Here is a 14,525-nt window from a genome sequence, read left to right as displayed (position 1 = left end):
GTCTGCCTGGGTTCCCTGCCTCCCTCTGGCCTGGACTGTAGGCCCAGAGCCCCCCAGGAGTGAGGGTCACTTCTGCCCATCAAGGACCTAGGCTTTCTTTCAACACTCTTGTCTCCAGTCCATTTTCATCTCCCCGGTTGGCCTAGGTGAATATTGGTGTTATCCCTTCGATAGATGACATTTTGGGGATATTTGGTCACTTTATCCTATCAGCCTGCCATTTATTTCAAAATAATGACCTCAGCAAATGTTTCCATAAAGATTTTTAGGTCAGCCCCAGCTTGGTTGCATCTTCTGCTGAAAGGACTATAGTGCTTTAAAAAACGTAGCATTGACGCCCCATCTTTCTTGGTTCCCTCTTGCCCCCAACCATAAGAAGGGAGAAGGAGAAAGTCAGGAGTGTGACATGCACCTCACTCTGCTTTACTTGCCACTCGTCTTCAATGTACCCTCCCTCTGGAAAGTTCTGTTTCTGAGGGTTTTGTGCTAACCATGTGTGAGGACCCCAGTCTCCAAAGAAGCAGCTGTCAATAGCAGATTACCTTGGGCATGGTGGTCCCACGCACTCCCCAGATCCTGCCTTCTCATGGCGACCTTCGGGCTTCATTAATGCCCTCTTGTCTCCCCTCCCCCAGGCGAGTATAGTGTTGGAAACAAGCACCGTGATCCCTTTGAAGCCCCAGAGGACAAAGATCTTCCTGTGGAGAAGTACTTTGTGGAGAGGCAGCCTGTGAGCGAGCCTCCCGCAGACCAGGTGGCCTCGGACATGCCTCACAGCCCCACCCTCCGGGTGGACAGGAAACGCAAAGTCTCAGGTGACAGCAGCCACACTGAGACCACTGCGGAGGAGGTGCCAGAGGACCCTCTGCTGAAAGCCAAACGCCGACGAGTCTCTAAAGGTGAGCCCTGTCTGCTTCGCCCGCCTGCCGGGGGGTGGGCCTTTGCATGCGGCCACAGTGGATGGACAGGAGATGTGGATGTGCGGCGCGCTGCCCCCGTAGACAGAGTCGGTGAGGGGAAGCCGTGGGGGCGCAGCAGTGGAGCGGACCTCTCCATTCCCACACTGCCTCGTGAGGTTCCCACCCTGGAGCCCCCGGGGGGAGCCGCCCACACCTCCCCTCCCCCAAAGCCAGAACCCAGATGGCCAAAGATGATTAGGCCCCTTCCCAAAAGCAGAGACCAGTGACCACACCCCCCCTCCCCCACCCCATTAGTGATGCGTAAGACAGTTTGTTCCCCCCCGGGGGGCTTTTTGATTAATTTGTAGTTATTTCTCCATTAGATGACTGGCCTGAGAGGGAAATGACAAACAGTTCCTCTAACCACTTAGAAGACCCACATTATAGTGAGCTGACCAACCTGAAGGTGTGCATTGAATTAACAGGGCTCCATCCTAAAAAACAACGCCACTTGCTGCACCTTAGAGAACGATGGGAGCAGCAGGTGTCGGCAGCAGATGGCAAACCTGGCCGGCAAAGCAGGAAGGAAGTGACCCAGGCCACTCAGCCTGAGGCCATTCCTCAGGGGACTAACATCACTGAAGAGAAACCTGGCAGGAAAAGGGCAGAGGCCAAAGGCAACAGAAGCTGGTCGGAAGAGTCTCTTAAACCCAGTGACAATGAACAAGGTATGCGGGGGCCACCCCTTGAGTGTTCACCCCGCTCCTGGAGGGTGGGTCATCCACTCTCTGTAGGAAAGGGCTTTTGAGGAGATCTTAGAAGGCCATAGCAATTGACTTCAACGAAGATGTGGCAGGCAGGGAGTTCTCTCTTGATGTCCTTGCCCGTGGTTGCACAGGAAGGAAGTCTGAACACCTTCATTCCAGCCTCAGGCTGTCTCCAGTCTCTGGGTCCTGAGCAACCCAGACCCAGTGGGTAGGGGGCAGGAAAGCAGGAAGAGCCAGCTTCTGTCCTCTCTTCCGGGCCCTTTGAAGCAACTTGCCACTTGGCGTTTTGTGGGTTAACTTAGGTGCCGTTTGAATGTGGTATAATTAAAATATTAATGCTTTGAAAACATAATTGGTGTATCTTTAAAAACTGAAGCCGCTCCAGTGATCAGTGTTAACAATGGGCTTTTCTTCCTGCACTGGCTACAACTGTGTAACGCCCGCTTCTTCTCCCGTCTCCCATCCGCCCGCCACCCCGTCACCCCCTCCGTATTTAGGCTTGCCTGTGTTCTCCGGCTCTCCGCCCATGAAGAGTCTTTCATCCACCAGTGCAGGCGGCAAAAAGCAGGCTCAGCCAAGCTGCGCACCAGCCTCCAGGCCGCCTGCCAAACAGCAGAAAATTAAAGAAAACCAGAAGACAGATGTGCTGTGTGCAGACGAAGAAGAGGATTGCCAGGCTGCCTCCCTGCTGCAGAAATACACCGACAACAGCGAGAAGCCATCCGGGAAGAGACTGTGCAAAACCAAACACTTGATCCCTCAGGAGTCCAGGCGGGGATTGCCACTGACAGGGGAATACTACGTGGAGAATGCCGATGGCAAGGTACCTCTTGACCCCGGCTTCCCTCTGGGGCCTGTGCGAACACATCCCCGCCTGCCTGCTTCCCAGCTTGAGGGGACAAAGCTTTCCTTTTCCTGGACTCCTCCCCCACACCACACGTCACTCCCCTGTCCTAGAGGAGCATGTCTTCTGGGTGGCAGCGAAGTTTCAAACTAGTAAGAATGAAATCCCTTCCCCCAAACCCTCCTTTGACAGGCACCCCCCACCCCCAAAAAAAGATAAGGAATAAAGTGCCTCTCTCCACGCAGGTTTGTCACGTGGGGAGGAGGAGGGGAAGCAGCGGCTGTTAGAAGGACACGGGCTTAACCGTGTGCGCTGCTTGGTTTTATGATAGGTGACTGTCCGGAGATTCAGAAAGCGGCCGGAGCCCAGTTCGGACTATGATCTGTCACCAGCCAAGCAGGAGCCAAAGCCCTTCGACCGCTTGCAGCAACTGCTACCAGCCTCCCAGTCCACACAGCTGCCATGCTCAAGTTCCCCTCAGGAGACCACCCAGTCTCGCCCTATGCCGCCGGAAGCACGGAGACTTATTGTCAATAAGAACGCTGGCGAGACCCTTCTGCAGCGGGCAGCCAGGCTTGGCTATGAGGTGTGTCCCTGTGGGCGCTCCCTGGGGCTGCAGGCTGGGGGGCGGGGCCTGCGGACTGTGGTGGGCGAGGGGAGGGACATGGAGAGCAGAGCTCAGCCCCCTCCACATCGGGGCTGGGCCGGTGCTCCAACAGGATGTTTGTGTTAGCCCCACTCTCACTGCTGTCTCTTTGGTGGCTTGTTCAATCGCGGTGTGGAAAGAAAGGCCTCTCTGATGTTCAGTTCGTGTTCAGGCAGGTAGGCTGCTACGGCATCCTCCAGTCTCGCTAACTTATCTCTGATATAAAATCTGACACAACCCAGGGCTTGGCGACTAGGGGAATTTTAATGAGCCCTTTTGGATTCTGATTAGCAAGGGGGAGAGAAGTTATTAGCTCTATCTGGGGCTGCTTGTACTGTTTCGGGTGGAAGGGTGGCCGTGTAGGGGGAGTAGGCAGGAAGTAGCTGTGTAGGTCACAGAGGGAGGGGGGTGGGGCAGACCTAAGGTCTCTTTCTGAGTGGGGGGGTACAGTAGCCTTAGGGCTGAGGGCTCTGGAGGGAGGGACTGAGACTTTTCCCTCAACTCACTGCTTCTCCCCAGCCCCCCTGCTCATCCTCCTCCTAGCATGGGCCATGACAATGATAGCTTACGTTGACGGAGCCCCTAAGATCCAAAGTAACTCATTTCACCCTTTCATCATCTTTGTGCAGTAGTAACTAATATTATTCCCGCTTTCAGATGAGGAAACTGAGTCCCAGAGGCGTTACATGATTTGAACAGATAATAATCCAGCAGCCTGGCTCCAAAGCCCAGTCTCCCCCCATCCCCCCAAACTCGGCTCCTCTCCAGGACTGGCTCCCATTGGAATCACGCTTTTCACAGTTCAAAACCTACGTCTGCCCCTGTGCGTCTCCCCACCACACACTTGTCAGTTGAGATAGTGATGTAATAGCCCACAGTGCAAAGACATTTTTTTTTATGCTGGCATCAGCTCTCTAGGAGTCGTGGTGAAAATAAAATGCGGTTCAGCAGGCTGAGTGTGAAGTGTGGAGAAGCACCCGGGCGACAGGATCCATGCCAGGCCATGCTCAGCTGTGGGCTCCCGGAATTCAGCCAGAGCCCAGGCTCATGCACCTTAACCATGCTGCAGTCAGCAGTCTGCTGTGCCTTGAGCCTTTCCTGATGGGGTGACCCAGCTGCCAGTCTCCCTTTGACCCAGAGCCCACCCTGGGGCATGATTGTGTGGGTGGGAACTGGGATGCTGGCTCACACCTGTGGGATGGTCCTTTGAAGCACTAGCTAGGTATTTTTGGTTGTATGTGACTTTGTCTATTCATACCAGCTTGTTTCTTATCGATATCTCTGGATTATCTTTGAGGGAACTCTCTAGAAGGATTTGAAAATTAGCTCAGTTACTTGCAGATTAAACCCAAGTGGCAGCCAGTTGGTTTCCCATAAGCTGAGAGCAGCGGCGCCTATGAGGACAGGGTAGATGCAGCGTGCCAGGCAGGGCCACTCATTCCTACGCATGATTGGGAAAATGGACTTGTGCTTCCAGCAAACACCAGAGGTAAGGGAGGGCTCCAGGGCAGCAAACTTGCCGGCCATAGCGGGGTAGGGCTCCTGGCCTGGTCTTTGATCCTGGCTTCATTTCTGCCAGTCTCACCTTTCTGAGCCCAGAGCTTCAAGAGACCCTTGTGGGTGCTCTAAGGAACAGTTTCCATTCTGGTGGTTTTCCTATAGCAGGCCTGGACTAAGGAACACTGATCCATGCTTTCTTAGGCTACCAGGCCTTTGGTGCAAGAAGCCTTGAGAATGTTTATGGAAGGACAACTTTTCCCCTTCAAATGTAAATGTCATTATAGAACTTTCCCAGGTCATCAGTTTTGATGCTGAATGTTTTAATTACTAGATGAAAGCTTTCAACTTTGAATCCAACTTTCTGGGATTTCTTTAGTCAGAAATTAAAATGTTAGGATGATAGTCCATTCAGATGTGGCAGTGTAAACCCTTTAAAATAAAAGAACAGTTTGCTTAACAGGATAAGGTACGGTATGAATGCACAGCTTTGGGAGAGGTTTCCCAAAACCCCTCTTTATCATTGTCTTCTGCTTAGCTAAAAAGATACCACATGCAATAAAAAGGCTGCTCAAGCTTTGTTTTCTGTTAATCTGGTTCTTGAGGTTTAGAAACACCCTCTGTCTTCAGATCTGTAATAGACCACCTGAAAGGCCAGTTACAGTTGAACCTGTCTGTTCTTAGGCTAAGATGCCAATGTGGAACCGCATGTGTGTGCATTTAGTAGTGATGGTTAAGTTTTCTATGAATCGAATAAATCATGTTTTTAAAAAAGTTAATGAGGCATTTAATTAATTAACAATGTCGGGTTTATGGCCTTTATGGTTACATTTTGCGGTTAATGTCATTCAGCTTATAGCTGCTTAACAGAGAATTGTCCAACAAAAACAGTTTGATTTTGTTTGGGAATGGGCGGGCTGCCCTTCAAACACTCCCATTTCCAGCGTGGAGAATAAACCAAGTAATGTAATGGGTAGACAGACTTGTCTGGCTTCTTCATTCTCTCTGTTGGTGACAGCGGTTGCCACCCATTTAAGATCCCATCACCCTCCCATCTAGGAGAGTGTCATTAGCCTGCTTGACCCCAACAGAAAAGGTGCAAGGGATGCCGGTCATGGCTGGATTGCAGCCCTCTAGCCAGGGCCCTTGATTGGGCCTTTGGAAACTTCCCAGCAGACCCGTTGCCAAAAGACCTGAGTTATGGGTCTGATACTTTGTGTTAATTGAATATGGGGCTTAACCTCTCTGGGCCTCAACTTCCTTGAGTGTTGAATGAGACTCATACCACTTTTCCTTCCTGAGATCTCACAGGTCACTGTGGGATATGACATACACATTTGGGAACATCAGAAGTGTTACGGTGGCCAATGGCAAAACGTCTGACCTGGTTGTTGGGTTACTGTTGTCTTGCCTGCCATCCTCCAGGATAACAGAGTTGACTTACCCTTCAGCCTCGACATCTTTCATTTCTATGTTCCCTCAGATCAGCCCTAGTAGTGATGAAGGTTTCCAGGTGAAGGCCATAATTGTCAGAGCAAATAAACCCTGGGTTGATAGGACACCAGGCCGGCTGCCGGGATCCGGGTAGATTGATCTGTGCACAGCAGTCGGTGGCGCTTAGAGCTGATCCCTGAGTCACGTGACAGGGCCTCTCCCTGGCTGGGTACACAGCTCATTAGCTTGCAGCCGTCCACTCGAGTCTGGCTAGTGAGGGCCTGCTAAAAGAGCAGCAGCTTCATGCGGTATCCTGGATACCAGTGCTCGGGGCAGGTGGCCTGGGAGCTCAGAGGATTGTGGGCTTTCTGGCAGGTGAGGGCCTGAAGGAAGAGACGCATCTGTGGGCATGCCTTCTCTCTTCCTCCCCTTGATTTGGAAGGGAGCTGCCGCAGTGTCCTGAAGCAACAGGGTTACCGGCCAGGGTTACCAGCGTGCAGCCTTAGGTTCACAGGGGGAGCATCTAGAACATTCTAGTTAGTGTTCAAGTGAGTGATCACCTTTGACTGATGTGTCTTAGAAAGGGCATAAAAGAATTTTCAGAACTCACCTCACGTTTATGGGTGGCTCAAATGCTGCCTATTTTAGGTTATAGATGAGTTATTTAAGAGTTGTCACAAAGGAGAGCCTGCTGTGACCCATCAAGCTCCCCCCTTGCCAAGTGGAACATGTGTTGGGCTACCCCACATGTTCTGGCTTTCCCCCCAGTCTTCAGAACCTGACAGCTCTCTGCTGGCCATGACTGCTAGGAAAACAGTGTAACCTGTTGTCTGGTGGCAGATACTGTTCCATGTGTTTGAAAACTTTCTTAATCAAGGTAATAAAACATGGACTAAATTACTGCTCTGCTTACTGGGAGCGGTTCATTTTAATGTTTTAACACGCCAAAGAAGTGAGATTAATAACAGTGATTCTCATGCAAACTGTTGATGCGGAACACATTCTGCAAAGGGGGAAGGGAAGGATTGTCTTACTTAGTTCTTGAAATGCGTAGGTTGTGGTATGTGGTGTATTAGATTCCTGTCATTAACTTAAGTAAATATGAAAATATATTGATTCAGCCCCAAGTGGGGCGGAGAGTGAAGCAAAAAGAAGGTAGGGTTATTGGAAGCGTTGATGTCATTTGTTGATGAGTATGATACCAACAGAGGCACTGCCGCCCAGGCTCCAACTCCGGGTCTTTCCAAGGGGCGTGAGGACCAGCCTAAACTCCTGGGCATCCTCCTCTCTGTGAAGTTGAGAAACGTTCTCCAGCTCATTTAATTGTTCATTATGCCTTGATTGGCCTTGCTTTTATCTAAACTTGTGTCGTCATCCACTACTACCTATTGGATGAATCGATTGAGTGAGGAGGATGTCCTTGTACTTATTCATGCGTTGTTTGAAACATTAGCAACCAAATCCCTCTGTACTCACTGTGCCAGGCACTGAGCTAAGGGCTTGTGTGGGTCTCTAATTACAGTTTCTTAGCAGCCTCTGGTAGGCGCTGTTACTCTCCTCCAGAGGTAGGAAAGGAAGCTTTGGAGAATTAGGAGCATAACTCGCCCAGGGCCAGGCAGCTGGGCAGCAGACCCCTAAATGATGCTGTCCCTGTCATCAGGCGCTTCGCACATGTGTTTCCCCCTCACCAAGACATCCACAGCCCGCCCGAGAGGTTCTCAGGTTCTCAGGCCTGAGGGTGTATGTCTTTGAAAGCTACAGAGAGGTCCACCTTACAAGGTCATTGTGCAGTGATCTGATGGCATTCTTCCCTCCCCTCCCCACAGGAAGTGGTCCTGTACTGCTTAGAGAACAAGATTTGTGATGTAAATCATCGGGACAACGCAGGTTACTGCGCCCTGCATGAAGCTTGTGCTAGGGGCTGGCTCAACATTGTGCGACACCTCCTTGAATATGGCGCTGATGTCAACTGTAGTGCCCAGGATGGAACCAGGTCAGTGATGTGTCTTGTTCTCAGCCTGGCTCTGCTGAGACCAAGCTTCCCTATCTGTGCGGTGGTGGTTCTCAGTGTATACGGGAAATTCCAGGAGGAAAGACAGAGGGTGACTGTAAGCACACTGACCACTGGGTTCTCTGGAATTGAATCCAGCAGACCTTTCTGGCAAATGTAGATGTAAAGCTCCCAATTTTGATCAGTCCTATAATGTTCCTGTGAACCAAAGCTTCTGAAAATGTTGAGGCCTGCATGAATAATTGGGGGTGTTGCCTTTTAAGACCCTGGACTCTTCATCACCATCTATGAAGTCACTGTATTTAAAATATATTTGAGCTGAAAGTCCCAGGAGTACACACAGAGTGCCAGCTGCCCCTCCGCTGGTTCAGCAGGACCTGCCATTGCCACCCACATCCCCAGCCGTGGCCCTCACCCTGTCCTTGACCCTGGTTTATTGGTCAGAGACCCAGGTCTGAGTCAGCCTGAACATCTTCCTGGTTGTGTGAGTGGGATGCTGCCATGAGGCTGGGCACTGGGGGTTTCCTGACAGTGACAGAAATAGCCAAACGGAAATGTATTTGGTGTTTCACACTTTGCAAATAGCATTCCCTCAGATTGGGCAGAGACCCATCTTCTCCCTGCCAACCCCAACCCCCAGCTCCATGGACACAGGTAGGAGGCCTCTGTATCCTGCTGAGAACACACCCCACCAGGCCTGTTTCTTCTCCCCACCGTTCCCTTGGCTTCTGGGCCAGAGGTTAATCACTGATCTGTGTGAGGTCCTGGGATCAGGCTTTCAGGAGAGTCTCTGCTAATCTCTTTGCATCTAGTTTCTTTTAAAAACAGAGGTGGCTTTTTTTTTTTTTTTTTTTTAATGTGTGACAGTTGCTTGTTGTATTGGCTTCCATGATGATGGGACCTCTTTTATCCCCTGTAAGTTACCTTCATATGGTCCATGACTACTTAAATTTGTTGAAAATGTTTTCATTTTGGGCTTGACTTCCTTCTTAGGCCTTGGATTAAGATAGGGTTTGCAGCTGGGCAGTGGCTCTCTTGCCTGTAATCCCAGCACTTTTGGAGGCCGAGGCAGGAGGATCACTTGAGCCTAGGAGTTCAAGATCAGCCTGGAAAACATAGTAAGACCCCGTCCCTACAAAAAGAAAAAATTAGCCAGGTGTGGTGGCATGCGCCTATAGTCCCAGCTATGAGGAGGCTGAGGCAGAAGGATCACTTGAGCCCAGGAGATCGAGGCTGCAGTGAGCCATGATCCGCCCCACTGCACTCCAGCCTGGACAGTGGAGTGAGACCCTGTCCACCCCCACCCCCACCCCCGCAAAAAAAGGATAGATTTGGGTTTGAGATTTAGGCCTGAAATAGTCTCTTCATCTGCCCTGTAAAGGGTTAGTCATCAAAATAACAGTGATTCATTGCTTGACGTTGAGCCACTCACTGTAGCTCAGTTTCCCTATCTGTGCAGTGGCGGTGACTGTGCACACCTCCTGGATGAAATACTGTGCTTAGGAGGCTCAGTACCCAAGGTGCACATGTGCCCAGCTTTGCCTGTTGCTTTTAAAGGAGACAACTGCTTTATAAGCAAGTGTGGCTTGCATGAGCATAATTCTATTGCGCCTCTCTTCCTAGGCCTCTGCACGATGCTGTTGAGAACGATCACTTGGAAATTGTCCGACTACTTCTCTCTTATGGTGCTGACCCCACCTTGGCTACGTACTCAGGTAGAACCATCATGAAAATGACCCACAGTGAACTTATGGAAAAGTTCTTAACAGGTATGACAAAGTTCAAGAAATGGTCTTATTCAAAAATTAGATGATAACTCGATACAATAGATGATTGGAATTTGACTAGGCAGAAATCACAAAGGCTGAAACTGTAAAGCTTTTAGGAGAGCAGCCGAGTGTTTGAACTTTTGTGTGGTTTGACTTTGTTCTAGTGAAGCTAAGTCATCTATTCACCCTAATGTTTTAAAAGATTTCCTAAAGTTATTCCCATTTTCCACACATGCATTCTTAACTTAGGTATGGCTCATAGGTTTACATCTTGAGTCTGGGAAAAATGACTCAAACCTTCCATACATGAAATTATTTGGACAGGTTTATGGTGTTAGGTCATCAGATAACCCATTACTTAAGCCCTGGGCATTACAAAGTGCCTAAAGCAGAAGCACAAGGTTTTCATGAGTGTCAGGCACCTGCAGTTAAAGTCCTTATCAGGCACTTCCTGCCAAAGAATGCCACTAACTCACTGGTGACCTGCCCTTGTTTACCTTAAATTACACTCACTTGTTGGAAGAAGCAGCTTAGTTAGGCTATCAAAGAAGAGATACATAAGTAGGCCGGACACAGTTGGCTCACGCCTGTAATCCCAGCACTTTGGGAGGCCGAGGCAGGTGGATCACCAAAGGTCAGGAGTTCAAGACCAACCTGGCCAACATGGTAAAACCCTGTGTCTACTAAAAATACAAAAATTAGCTGGGCATGGTGGTGGGCGCCTCTAGTCCCAGCTTGGGAGGCTGAGGCAGGAGAATCCCTTGAACCCGGGAGGTGGAGGGGTGGAGGCTGCAGTGAGCCGAGATTGTGCCACTGCACTCCAGCCTGGGCAACAGAGCAAGACTCTGTCAAAAAAAAAAAAAAAAAAGAGATACATAAGTGTAATGCTACTTTATTTTGCTGAGAAAGAGGAAGACAGGAAATGACCTTCCAGCCTGTCATGAATGTATAGGAAAAAATGCCACGTGGCTCTGCCATCATTTTGTTCTCAGCAGTAGATTTTATCTTGTTTTTTTATTTTTCTCTCCCTCCAGATTATTTAAATGACCTCCAGGGTCGCAATGATGATGACGCCAGTGGCACTTGGGACTTCTATGGCAGCTCTGTTTGTGGTAAGCTGCATTGTTTGCTCTAGTTCCGTAGGAGGTGAACAAGTTCAAGTCCATTTCTGTCTGGTATGGGTGAGGGAAAGTGGATGGTGGGCACTGGAAGCAGGACTCACTTGGGAAAGAATCTTGTTATTTAAACTCCTTGTTGTTGTTGACAACTGTGGACATCTTGCTGTAGTTTACTGATTCCTTCCTCTCTTATTTGCCCTCCATTAGAACCAGATGATGAAAGTGGCTATGATGTTTTAGCCAACCCCCCAGGACCAGAAGACCAGGATGATGATGACGATGCCTATAGCGATGTGTTTGAATTTGAATTTTCAGAGACCCCCCTCTTACCGTGTTATAACATCCAAGTATCTGTGGCTCAGGGGTGAGCATGGCTGTCATGTGATTGAAAACTAGCTGAGCTGCTCTTGAGGTGACAGGAGTTAGAAATGCGCTTTGAGCAGATGAGGGTGGGTGGGTGAGTGACCTCCTTAACTGTCCACGAACCTCACACAATGCAGTAGATATTTTCCAGAAAGGGTACACATCAGCTTCCTTACACCCAGTGTGGTGGGGGGTGGGGCACAGCATGGTATAAACCTGCCCTCATCACTAACACCAAGGCTTAAGTCACTCCCCAGAGAAGTGGGTGACTGGAACTTTATGGAAGGGTCAGCACCTTGGATACTTAAATCCTTAAACACTTTGAGAAGGTGTCCTCCCTAGGACTGCCTGCAACAGACCACTGTAGGATGTTTTGAGATGTACGGACTACACTGATAAACCACCTTGTGTAAGGTTAGGACAATCATTGTACATGACACTTAGGATATTGGTGTGTCATCAGATTTAGTTAATCCCCTCTGCCCCCTATGGTTGAGCCCCTATTCGCCAGTGACCAATCATCTTGGGTGTACTTGTCAAGAGACTGCTCTGCTGTGTGTTGACAGAGCTGCTTGATGAGTAACATCCTCCTCAGCCCTGAAGCTATAAACATATATGCCATTACAAACAGTGATGGAAATCATAAAGTATGGTAGGTTGTATGCAAGGAATGTAACACCTTCCTTCTCAAAAGTGTCACTCCCAAAAGAATGGAAGGATGGGAGTGGACATGCCTGAATGGAGAGACAGCCTTGTGTGTTTATAATGCTGTTAGTGAGGGTCTGAGGAGAGAAGAGATCAAAGAAATGGGGATACAGACTTACTCTCCCAGTGACTGTTGATAGCAGGGCACTTGGATAGGCTTGACCCTAGTTGTGGTCACAGCTGAATGAGCAGGACTTTACCCCCAGAAAGGGGAGAAATGGGGCTTATTCAGATGGTCCTCCCTAGATGGACAGATGAGTCCAGAGTTCCTACTGCTAGAAGTAGTTACTCTGCCTCACCTTAGAAAGGAATGGCGATGGCCGGGCACGGTGGCTCACATCCGTAATCCCAGCACTTTGGGAGGCCAAGGCGGGCGGATCACGAGGTCAGGAGATTGAGACCATCCTGGTTAACATGGTGAAACCCCATCTCTACTAAAAATACTAAAAAGTAGCCGGGCATGGTGGCGGGCCCCTGTAGTCCCAGCTACTCGGGAGGCTGAGGCGGGAGAATGGCGTGAACCTGGGAGGTGGAACTTGCAGTGAGCTGAGATCGCGCCACTGCACTCCAGCCTGGGCGACAGAGCGAGATTCCGTCTCCAAAAAAAAAAAAAAAAAAAAAAAAAATGGTGATCAGAGAGTAGGTATGGTGAGAAATGAGGGGTGGGAGCAGAATGAAAGGACATAGAGGCTGGTCCACTTGGGTTGGTAGTTAATATTAATAGTTGGGCGCACTTTTCATTTTACTGGAAACTCAAAGCATTTTCCTTTCTGTTTTGTAGGCCACGAAACTGGCTACTGCTTTCGGATGTCCTTAAGAAATTGAAAATGTCCTCCCGCATATTTCGCTGCAATTTTCCAAACGTGGAAATTGTCACCATTGCAGAGGCAGAATTTTATCGGCAGGTTTCTGCAAGTCTCTTGTTCTCTTGCTCCAAAGACCTGGAAGCCTTCAACCCTGAAAGTAAGGAGCTGTTAGATCTGGTGGAATTCACGAACGAAATTCAGACTCTGCTGGGCTCCTCTGTAGAGTGGCTCCACCCCAGTGATCTGGCCTCAGACAACTACTGGTGAGCAAGCTGGACCCACCATGTACAGTGTGTTATAGTGTTAATCCTTGTGCATATGTGTCATAATACAACTATTTCTGTAAAGAAAGGACACTATTACATATGAAAATATCTCTTCTTTATATAAGAGAAATTACTCCAGTCAGAAGGACTTAGAAACATGTTTTTTTCCTTTTAAACTTTTAAGTCAGTTTTTATGAAGTTGTTATAATGTTTCTTTACTTTTCAATGCACACATGCTTTGGGATACGTTTGTTTTTACTTGGAACATTTGTTTCTTTTCTTTTTTAAGGAGAAAAAAAAATGAGTAAAAGGAGCTCCACACTTTGACTTAATTTCATACAAAGCTCTGATGACAGGCCATGACTGTAGAGTGGTCAGAACTGTGTGGTTGGTTTGAGGGAGCGAATTCGGGGAAGGCACTTGGTGATATAACTTTGTTTTGTTTACAGAGTACCTGCTCGGGCCAGGTAAATGCTATTGGATGTAATCCAGTAGTGTGTAATATAAATTCAAACCATATCCACACACAACAACTAATTGTATGAAACTTTTATATCCTAATTTAAAAGCTGTGAAATTAGTTTTCACGCATCAAACCGGATTGTTTATATGTTTAAACATTTTATGCTCTTATTTAAAGAAGACTTTGAGCTATTTTTTTCTGTACCCTGTAAAATATTGAAAACTAACATAATATGTTGAGGTTGCTTGGAAATGTACATAAAACTAAAATTTTCTGAATCGTGTGTTTATGTTTGAAATCTGTGTTTTAACTTTGTAAGTAAATTCTCTGCCTTTGTATTTATATTTTACAAAAATTTTCTTAAAAGGCAATAAAACTGTTGAGGAAAGGAGAAAATTGAAGTACCTTGTGTCCCATGTATTCCTAAAGCATTATTGTTGTCCCTGATTCTTCTTAAATGGTGCTGGTGATGTATTCCCTATAGATAACTTTAGAGCAATTTATAGTCTCTGGAAACCAAAGCAGACTGGAGGATTTTGGAGGAGTTATACTCAGAATATAATTTGGAGTCCTATTCTGAAAGCCCAATTCTTGGACATATTTCCTGTCTCTTAGAACCTTCTCTTTCCTGTCTCCTTTGATGCTTATGGAGGCTTTTGCACTGCCTTTGGCCTTGACCTATTTCAGTCCCACGTCATGGCCAACTCTCTAGGAGTGTTTTTTCTGAAGCTAGGCATTTGTTATGTCACTTCTGCAGCCCTTCTGTTGCATGGCCTGAGAGTCAAGGCCTGTAGAGCCAGCCTTTCCTCTGTTCTTGACTTTTCCCAGCAGTATCTGCACTGGGCACTATCAGTTGGCCCTTGATTTCCATCTCACTTGCTTTTGTGCCTGTCCTTCACTATAGAGGCTAGAAAGCTGAAAACTACTTGACTCCCTT

General features: G+C 48.3%; 1 protein-coding gene across 47 annotated transcripts in view, besides 1 other annotated feature; it reads left to right on the top strand.

Moving 5' to 3' along the window:
• Positions 1–13,989, top strand: part of BCOR (BCL6 corepressor) — a 126,032-nt gene extending 112,043 nt beyond the window's left edge. For 20 of the 47 annotated variants that reach the window (XM_047442223.1, XM_047442213.1, XM_047442219.1 and 17 more), the window contains 9 exons: positions 636–899; positions 1,385–1,627; positions 2,164–2,489; positions 2,842–3,096; positions 7,914–8,080; positions 9,722–9,867; positions 10,902–10,979; positions 11,193–11,349; positions 12,835–13,989. In XM_047442223.1, coding sequence (XP_047298179.1) covers positions 636–899; positions 1,385–1,627; positions 2,164–2,489; positions 2,842–3,096; positions 7,914–8,080; positions 9,722–9,867; positions 10,902–10,979; positions 11,193–11,349; positions 12,835–13,126 — 1,928 coding nt within the window. In that variant the 3' untranslated portion in view covers positions 13,127–13,989. Of the gene's footprint in view, positions 1–635; positions 900–1,282; positions 1,628–2,163; positions 2,490–2,841; positions 3,097–7,913; positions 8,081–9,721; positions 9,868–10,901; positions 10,980–11,192; positions 11,398–12,834 lie in introns of all 47 variants that reach the window. The other 27 variants (XM_047442205.1, XM_011543931.3, XM_047442201.1 and 24 more) reach the window with 4 other exon arrangements.
• Positions 5,886–6,385: an enhancer, noted in NCBI's record as "H3K4me1 hESC enhancer chrX:39918103-39918602 (GRCh37/hg19 assembly coordinates)". NCBI's record gives its function as "activates a minimal SCP1, AML or CMV promoter by ChIP-STARR-seq in primed H9 embryonic stem cells {active_cell/tissue: H9 hESC(primed)}" and the evidence as "EXISTENCE:reporter gene assay evidence [ECO:0000049][PMID:30033119]".

This window comes from Homo sapiens, chromosome X, assembly GCF_000001405.40.
Source record: "Homo sapiens chromosome X, GRCh38.p14 Primary Assembly".
Lineage (NCBI taxonomy): Eukaryota > Metazoa > Chordata > Mammalia > Primates > Hominidae > Homo > Homo sapiens.
This window is presented reverse-complemented; position numbering and strand designations above follow the sequence as displayed.